The sequence below is a fragment of the Homo sapiens genome, chromosome 2, assembly GCF_000001405.40.
Source record: "Homo sapiens chromosome 2, GRCh38.p14 Primary Assembly".
In the NCBI taxonomy this organism is placed as follows: Eukaryota; Metazoa; Chordata; class Mammalia; order Primates; family Hominidae; genus Homo; species Homo sapiens.
The window spans coordinates 136,130,979-136,140,366 of NC_000002.12; the positions used below are offsets into that span (position 1 = coordinate 136,130,979).

Here is a 9,388-nt window from a genome sequence, read left to right on the forward strand (position 1 = left end):
CCACAGTTGGGTTTTTGGGTGATTTACTGGAAAGGGGAATGTGGGGGGTAAGGTGAGCTCATCACTGACCTTTGACTCTGTCAGGTGGTGCAGGCTGGTTCTCAATCTGTGAGCAGTGGACCCCAAGGGAAGTTATTGTGAAGGGTCTAAATACCCCCAAGTGCCAAATCTTCCTGTAGATTGAATATATAATGTGCTACAATTTTTGAAATGCATGTGGATGCTATTGTGATTCATAAAATATGGAATTGGTTTGGAAGTGTCTTGAATTCATAGGAGTTTTGTGTGTGTGTGTGTGTGTGTGTGTGTGTGTGTGTGTGTGTGTGTGTTTAAGAATGTTGTTTGGGCCGGGCACGGTGGCTCATGCTTGTAATCCCAGCACTCTGGGGGGCTGAGGTGGGTGGATCACCTGAGGTCAGGAGTTTGAGACCAGCCTGGCCAACATGGTGAAACGCCATCTCTACTAAAAATACAAAAAATAGCTGGGTGTGGTGGCAGGCGCCTGTAATCCCAGTTACCCAGTAGGCCGAGGCACGAGATTCGCTTGAACCTGGGACACGGAGGTTGCAGTGAATCAAGATTGCACTACTGCATTCCAGCCTGGGTGAGAGAGTAAGACCCTGTCTCAAAAAAAAAAAAAAGAAAAAAAAAAGCCAAAAACGAATGTTGTTCGTCAACAGACATTACCACACTACCAGCACGATTGGCTTTCATCTGGTGGTTCATGAAACTTTGTGGTTGTTAAAAGTGATCTTCATGTTCCGCAGAGGAAAGGCAGCCCTAAAGGGAATACAGTTTTTGTCTGGTGCCCAGAGCCTATCTACCCCTACTTGGGCTGCCAGAGAGTGGAGCTTGGGACACGACCAGTGTGGAATAGGATGGAAAAAATATTTCTCTGTACACTGATCACCACACTGCTTGCAGCAGGGAGCTATCAACCGAGAACCAACTACATAAGGGGGTTGTTATTTGTGGAGGAGCTTTCAGGTCCTCTAAACCTACCTCCCACTCTCGGCAGGAATCCCTTATAGAACCTCCCTGTGGGATGAACGTTAGCTTGGCCCTGATCCCTGCATTAACAGGTAGCGCTGTTTACTATAAAGTAAATTCAGATTCCAGGACCTCCACCTTGGTTGTTTCTGATTTGGCAGGGTTGGGGCGGGGCTTTGAGCATTCGCCTTTTCAAATAATGCTCGAGGTGATTCTGATGTCAGCCAGAGTTGAGAGAGAAGATTGTTATGAAAGGACACAAATACCTCATCACGGTGCTTTTTGTTTGTGAAGTGCTCACTAAGGCGTGAACAGCGTCATGGTGGGGCTCCTGCAGGCTTTATATTTATACCCCGTTTCTTATTTCTCACACCCACTCTGGTAGATAGATCCCTATTTCAAAAATGAGTGAATTAGGGTTCAGGGAAGTGAAACCTGTGTGCCGGCTGGGGACTGACAGTTGGAACCCCAATGTACAAATGAAACCAGGGAACAGTGGGTGTGACGAGCACTTGAGGAGCGACAGAGAGTTATGACCTCGAACCCACAAGTGAGACTGCAAACACAAGTAGGTGGGAGCCCAGCGGCAGGAGACTGACACTGCTGGAATCAGGGAGGGGGCAGTGCTGTTTAAGAGCTTCTGACACACTCAGTTCCTCCCTTCATCCTAAGAGACCTGGGCTCACTAGCAGAGGGGCTTTGGCAAGTTACTTGATGGATTAGGGCCTCAGTTTCTTCATCTGTGAAGTGGAGATAATAATAGTGCCTGCCTCCTGCTGCAAGTCTAGTCATCAGTATCATCAACATTGGTGGTACACCTGCTGGGTACCAGTCCTGGGGTGGGCGTGCTCCTCTCTAGAAGATAAAAGCCCATATAGAGACTATGGTGGAAGGAGCAGGACAAGAGAATCAGAAGCTCACCTCATTCTTAATGTGAAGAGACATTAAGATCAGGAAAGCCAGATGCTTGATGTTCTCTCTCATACCCATAGCAGATGGGTGCCTCACTGGGTTCCCCCAGAAGCTGATGGTGAGCAGGGGGGTGGCAGCCACTTTTATTTTCTCTTTTCTTTTCTTGTCTTCTTTTCTTTTCTTGGATCTTACTCTGTCACCCAGGCTAGAGTGCAGTAGTGTGAGTATGGCTTATTGCAGCCTTTAACTCCTGGGCTCAAGCAACCCTCCTGTCTCATCCTCCTAAGTAGGTGGGACTACAGGTGTGTGCCACCATGCCCAGCTAATTTTTGTTGTAGAGATGGGGTCTCACTCTATTGCCCAGGCTGGTCTTGAACTCCTGGCCTCAAGCAATCCTCCTGCCTCAGTCTCCCAAAGTGCTGTGATTGCAGGTGTGAGCCACTGCACTCAGCCAGCAGCCACCCATTTCTTACAGCTGCTCCAGTGTGAGGGGGTAACAAAAGGCTGCTTTCAAGGCAGCAGCCCAGCCCCCATGTTTCCTGCCTGGTCCCTGAGGAGTGCACAAGTGATCAGGAGAGATTCTTCTTTTGGTCACAGGGATCTTAATGATCACTGGGACTTGGGCTGTTTAAGATGTCACTTAGAAGTTCAAATCTACTTCCAGATGGCTTCCAAGCGAGGGATGGCCTCTACAGTGAGGCCAATCATGTGGTATATTCTTACCTAAGTGGGCCTTGCTGCCCTGCACAATGGCATCTCGGCCCATGGGCCAGCCTCGTAAGGTCTTTAAACCTATGACCACCAGGTGATCTTCTCTGGGGAGCAGCAGAACTTCCATGAGTCTGTCCAGGGATCTTATTTAGAGATGAGTCATACTTTTCTACGCTGTCAGCTCTAGGTTGAAGTAGAATGTACCAGCAACAGACTAGGATGACCTCGCAGCTAGCTGTCCATAGGAATACACCTCTTCTTTCTTCCAACCTCTCAGTTTCCTGGCGTTTCCTCTAAGTTAATGTCTTGCTAGAATGGTTTGAGTTGACATTAACTGTCTGCTATGTTTTATGCAGCACATGGCCACCTACCAAGTGGCACTTTCCATTTTGGGTATGGGGAGCAGGGTATATTTTATACCTCCAATCCCATTGTTCTTTATGAATCTTTGTTCCTTCACCCCTCACTTCCCAAATCGATCACTTTGCTTCTTGATTATGATATCCCTGTGGGTGAACCCGTAGATAGCAGAAACTGAGCTGTCTCTGCTGTTGATAATTTTAGCTCTTCTTGGAACTCCTTTCTTTTTGCAAATGCCAACCAGGTGTCCCCAAGTAAGAGATGATACTTGTTTGTTTGGTAAAGGCACCCAGATAAGAAGAGTCAGAATGAACAGCTCCAAAAGAGAAGTGGTTTCCTCGGTCACCGACTCACCACATTAAACATTCACCCTGGCTCACTGTCTGAAATGAGTCAGTGGTCCTTTCAGAATTCCCTTTACAACAGTGTTTCAAAGAAATCTGTGACTGAGGTTGCAAATCATTTTTTCTTCACTGCAGCTGACTATTTTGCATTTTCCCAAGGTGAAACTCAGCCTGTCTTTTCAGGTGTTGAGAAAGAGAGTCAAAACTTCAAAGTTGAGGGGGTGGGGGTGCGGGGTGGGGGACCCAGCTACCAAAGGGAAGCCCGAAAGCACTCTTTTCAAGGATAGGAAAACACTCACCAACGTCAGATTCTAACACTGAGCTGAGTGGTTTGCTATGTGCAGCTTTCTAGTGGCTTGGATTTTTCTTTCCTAATTTTTTTTTAAACCATCATCCTCTGGTTGCCATCATCCTCTTAGCATTCCTGACCTCCCAGAGTTTGGCCTCACTTGATTTACCGAATATTACCTTCCGGCTCCTTTTTATCAAAGGCCATTGCTATATCCATGGTGGTCTCCTCCCTGACCTCACTTCACACAGATTGCAGCAGTGATTTTTCTTTCCTTTCTTTTCTTTTTTGAGACAGTGTGTTGCTCTGTTGTCTAGGCTGGAATGCAGAGGCATAATCATGGCTCACTGCAGCCTCTGCCTCCTGAGTCAAGTGATCCTCCCACCTTAGTCTCTCGAGTAGTTAGGACTACAGACACAGGCCACCATGCCCGTCTAACTTTTATTTTTTTGGAGACAAGATCTCGAGATGTTGCCCAGGGTGTCTCGAACTCCTGGGCTCAAGCCATCCTCCCACCTTGGCGGCCTCCCAAAGTGCTGGGATTTCAGGCGTGAGCCTCCACGCCTGGGCCAGGAGTGATTTTTCTATGGGAGTTATTATCCACTCATTTCTGCACCACCTTCTGCATTGATAGAAATCCTTTTCATCTTAGAGCCCATTTTCCATCCCATGTCCTGGGTAAAAGCTTCCTGATGGATATTCAGTTCCTTACTTCCCCAAATGCTTGCTGAGCACTCTGTCCCAGGCACCAGACATAGGGATAAAGGCAGTGCACAAGGCCGACCAGGAACCTGTCCTCATGGAGCTCACAAGGATCCAGACAAGTGCACCTGCACTTATAGTTCAACCTAAACCAAACGTGGAAGGCTTTCCAAAAGAGATGACCTCAAAACTAAGACAAAACAAGTAAATGGGAGTTAATGAGGTGAAGGGGGTAAAGTGAGGTGTTTTGCTTTTCCTTGCACTCATGGTATGAAGCATCTTCTGGCACTCTGTTTTGCATCAGCTTGTGTTGTTTCTATGCTCAATGTAGGCATGCTGTTTGTTACCTTTAAGGTGCTATAACTCTTTGAGAGCCAGAGAGTGTGGTACTTTTCCACTTATCCTTCTCAAGTTTTAGCACAGTATGGTATAGTTTGCAAGGAAGGAAAGTAGCATTTAAGGAGGGCCCATTGTGTGTCTGTCACTTTGTGTGCAAGAGGTAAAAGCTACTGTGTTACTGAAAGGAATGGGAAGCCATACAGTTAGGGCAGTGCCACAGGCTGGAAATCAGGATAGTGGTTGTATTTTTGTCTCCACTGCTGAGTGGGTGTGTGATTTTGGGTGAATCTCTAAACTTCCTCTGGGCCTGACCTGATTTCCTCATCAGTGGAATGAAGGTATTCCACTCCAGCATCTTCCAGCTCTGTCATCTACTTTTTCCTGTGGCCTTGCAGGCCATCTGGTTGTTGTTGAACTGGTGGGAAGACAACTGCAGAAGTTAGTTCAGGGGTTAAATCTGGAAACCCAATGTGGAAATGAAACCGCAGCCCTGAATACATTAAGTGCTGGGTTAGTTGGAGACTAAGGAAAGAAAGTCCCTGAGGAATGAGCCCATGTGAGCTTTAGCGCCTCTGTGCCCACTACCAGGAGCCCCCAGTGCAAGCTATCAGCCAGGGAGGAACAGTGTTTGCTCGGGCTTTGCTCTGTGGGCATGCAGAGCTTCCACCCGGCAGCATCTACACCTGCGGTCTTGTAACCTAGCTACAGAAATAGCAAGTATGTGCGCAGAAGGCAAGTTGATGAGCTAGACAGTGGGTACAGACACTTACAGCAGAACTTTGGTGCTGAAAACACCTAGTTCAGGACATCATGTACTAACTCAAGGGTGCCTCCCCCTTTTTGTCTCTCTTAAATTTTTCAAAACAGGAAGAAACTTTTCTTCAACTGCAGGCACCAATAACCTATGACCTTCTAGAGAGATCATTTTGGAAACCATCTAAGAAAGCTACCCTCACTGAGGGGATGCTAGTCACTCTTTTCCCCTCTCCCCACAACTCCCCACCCTCCTTTTTTTTTTGTAACTCTGGGCTTCTGGCAACAGTTTGGAAGGTTGGCACAAGGCCATCTGAAACCACAGTGGGGTGTTAGGTAATCTGTTCTCATTAAAATGCTGTTCTGTGGTTTAATTTTCAACGGTTTCTTTGCAGCTTGAAAACACACATACTATATTTTTTGAGGTAAGGAGAGATGGCTGTTACAGAGGCAAAAAGGCGGGAAGATGGGGTACCCCTAAGACACTTCCTGGTATGTTTCCAGAAAAGAAACAGCTGCTTTCATTCTAGAGGGGGCAAATTGAGCCTAAGGCAGCATTTAGGGAGCTTCCTGGACATAACTGACTCTAGGGACAAATGCTTCAAACACATCTGAAAACTCTCCAGATTGAAAGGATCAAATCATATGACCATTCCCCCACTTAGTCATTGAATTGAGCACTTTTATTGACTGTCTACCAAGTGCCAGGCACTGGGAGACATTTCAAATCACACCTGAGGACAGAGAGACAGAAACCACTGCCCAGCAGGAGATCACCACCAGGTGGTTGATGACAAATAGGGCGGTGCAGTACAGTGGGGTAAGCAAGCTGCTTGTTTCTTCTCATCCTCACCTTCATGGAATTCCCACCTTTTGAAGTGTATCAGTGAAGATAGCAAACTAAAGCCCAGGGTTATCATTTCTTTCTAAAAAAGAGAATTGCAACACATTCAAATGCTCTCATTGCCACAAAAAGGCCTTAAGGTTGCCAAGTTTTGAGTTCAAGCTTTAGATGAGTTGCATTCTGTCATGAGCAGCATAACCTCTGTAGGGGTGGTAGGGTGTAACCCCTTTCCTACCCATCATAAGGGTTACAGCCAATACTGCTATAACAAAAGACAGGTTAACAAGAGAAAAACATAGCAAATGTATTAATCAAAGTTTATATGACATAAAAGCCTTCAGAAATGAAGACTCAAAGACCCAGAGAAAGCTGTTTTTATGCTTAGGTTTAATGAAGAATGGACAGCGGGTAGAAATGTGATTGGAGAAAGGGTATGGTGTAATGGTGATAGACTGAGGGGGATATCCAGGGAGGCTGTCTGTTCAAATTCTTCTTGGCCTCTCTGTGCAGCATTCCCTCCTCCCAGGTATGGGGGCAGGACCCTCCGGAATGAAGGTCTTCAAAGGAGAAGGGAGAGAGTGACCTTTCTGGTTTTATGGCTTGCTTTAAGGGAGAGGGGTTCTATTTTCTATGATCTGCCGTGGGGAAGGAGAATTCTAGTTTGTATGGCTCACTTTGGGGGAGAAATGAAGAGAGGTGGAAGACAGGAGGGGAGAAGAAGGTCAGAAAGACTTTGCTTCTGAGGTCTTCCAATCTCCTTTAGTTCAAAGTACTCAGCGTGCCCAAGTGCCATGCTCTGGGTTGCTGCATTCTAAGTCCCAGCACCACTCACCAGCAAGACTAGGGTGCCATCCTCATGCTGATAACAGTGGGTAGTTCAGACAGTCTTCTAGGAACTGTCTCACCTCCCCCACAGCTTCCCCCTTCTTTGTCCCAACCTTCTTGACTGACTCATTCCCACCTCACACAGCTCTGGCTCTGTGACCATGACCTTCGTCCTTAACTTGGCCATTCCCAGCATCTTGGCTTTCTTCCTAGTTCTTCTCTTTGGCTCTAAGCAATGCTGAGGCTCAAGGAACCTAGGCTAACCCCTATCTCTCAGGGTGACAGAAAAGCTCCAAAGGATGATGTCCAGGTGCGACGAAGATGGCCCCCCAGTAAACTGAACTAACCAAATTCAGCCCCAGGCAAGTTGGACAGGGCAATTTTGACCCAGGTCTGATTTGAACATTACTAACCAGATGAGCATTTTAAGTCATACTGATTCCAGTAACAGGTGAAAATTCTACCTGTTCCAATAAAGGACTAAAAGAAACCTATCCTTGGAACTTTTAACCCCTCCAGCATTTTTCTTTCTTTCTTTCTTTCTTTTTTTTTTGAGACAGGGTCTTGCTCTGTTGCCCAGGCTGGAGTGCCATGGCATAATCATAGCTCATTGCAGCCTCAACCTCCTGGGCCAAGCGATCCTTCCACCTCAGCCTTCCAAGTAGCTGGCACCACAGGTGCACACCACCACACCTAGCTAATTAAAAAAAAATTTTTCTTTTAGAGATGGTATCTCCCAGTGCTGCCCAGGCTTTTCCAACATTTTTCTTCCCTCCTGTCTGTCCTTACTCTTTGGGCCAGTTTCTCTCTATTTTTTTGACAATGTTATTGTATGTGTACTAATGGAGAAATGTGCATAGTTACTTTGGGTCTTTGTTTTGAGGGACTCAGGGCATTTAAGTTTTCAGAAAGCATCCACAATAGGTTAATATTGACAAGTGCCTCATTTTCCCTCTCCTAATCATTAACTATTTGGCTCAATTGAGACATTCGGTCAGGGTTCCTTAAAAACATTTTTAGATAAGCATGAAGGCTTTTGATTTTATTTAAAATCTTCTCATTGGTGGACATTTTTTGAGACAAGTCAAATTTGGTGACACTTAATGGAAGTATTTTATATATAGATGCTCCTTGACTTACAAGGGGGTTACATCCTGATGAAAACCCTAGTATGCTGAAAATAATGGAAGTCAAAAATACATTTAAAGGATAAAATGGTTGATGGCCACTCCTGGCTTGCTGCCTTCATGCTGGGAAATTCTCTTGAGTTTCATCTCAAGACTAATTGCCTTCCTCCTCTTCTCACTGGAAGCAGGAGACACAGATGGACTTTTTGTAGACATGATGGTATTTGAAACACAAAACACAATATCCAAAAAAAACACTGACCACTTGGTCCACTGTAGAGCATTGGTCACTGGCCCTGCTGACTGCTTGGCTGACTGGGAGCTGTGGCTCACTGCTGGTGCCCAGCATCATGAAAGAGTCTCTTATTGCATATTGCCAGCCCAGGAAAAGATCAAAATTCAAAATTCAAAGTATGGTTTCTACTGAATGCATATTGCCTTTTCATTATCACAAAGTCATAAGTCAAGCCATCCTAAGTCGGAGACAGTCTGCCCCAAAAGGTGAGTGAGGAGTGAGCTGGTCTGATTTATTGTTAGAATTTGTCAAAATATTGACATTAAAGCAGGTAAAAATCAGTGTGGTTTTCTTCGTGGAGGGTTTCACTTTGACTTTCAATACTGTATCTGAGGGTTTGATGAACCCAGAAATGCAAAGTGAAACTTGGGAGTATCAGCGCATTTCAAGCCAAACAGACCTCTATGAATGAAAGTTGAGTTCCAGTTGAGCTTCTTATCAGCATAGACCATTTGTTAGATGTCACCCTCTTCTCTTCATAAAAAAATATGGTCCCTTGTCTCAAAGGAACTTGTTTTTAAAATAAGATATATTGTCAGCCACCAAATAGCATGGCATTTTCTAACTCTTCTCCTCAAAGTTCCGTGCTCTTCTGGACTACTTTATTTTTATTTATTTATTTAGACAGGGTTTCACTCTGTCACCCAGGCTGGAGTGCAGTGGCATGATCTTGGCTCACTGCAACCTCCACCTCCTGGGCTCAAGCGATCTTCCCACCTCAGCCCCCCAAGTGGTTGGGACTACAGGTGCAAGCCACCGCGCCTGGTTAATTTTTGTATTTTTTGTAGAGACAGGGTTTCACCATGTTGGCCAGGCTGGTCTCAAACTCCTGAGGTCAAGCAATCATACACTCACCTCGGCCTTCCAGAGTGCTAGGATTACAGATGTGAACCATAG

General features: G+C 45.7%; 1 annotated feature.

Moving 5' to 3' along the window:
* Positions 5,650-5,699: an enhancer, noted in NCBI's record as "active region_16585". NCBI's record gives its function as "activates an Ori minimal core promoter by ATAC-STARR-seq in GM12878 lymphoblastoid cells {active_cell/tissue: GM12878}" and the evidence as "EXISTENCE:reporter gene assay evidence [ECO:0000049][PMID:35858748]".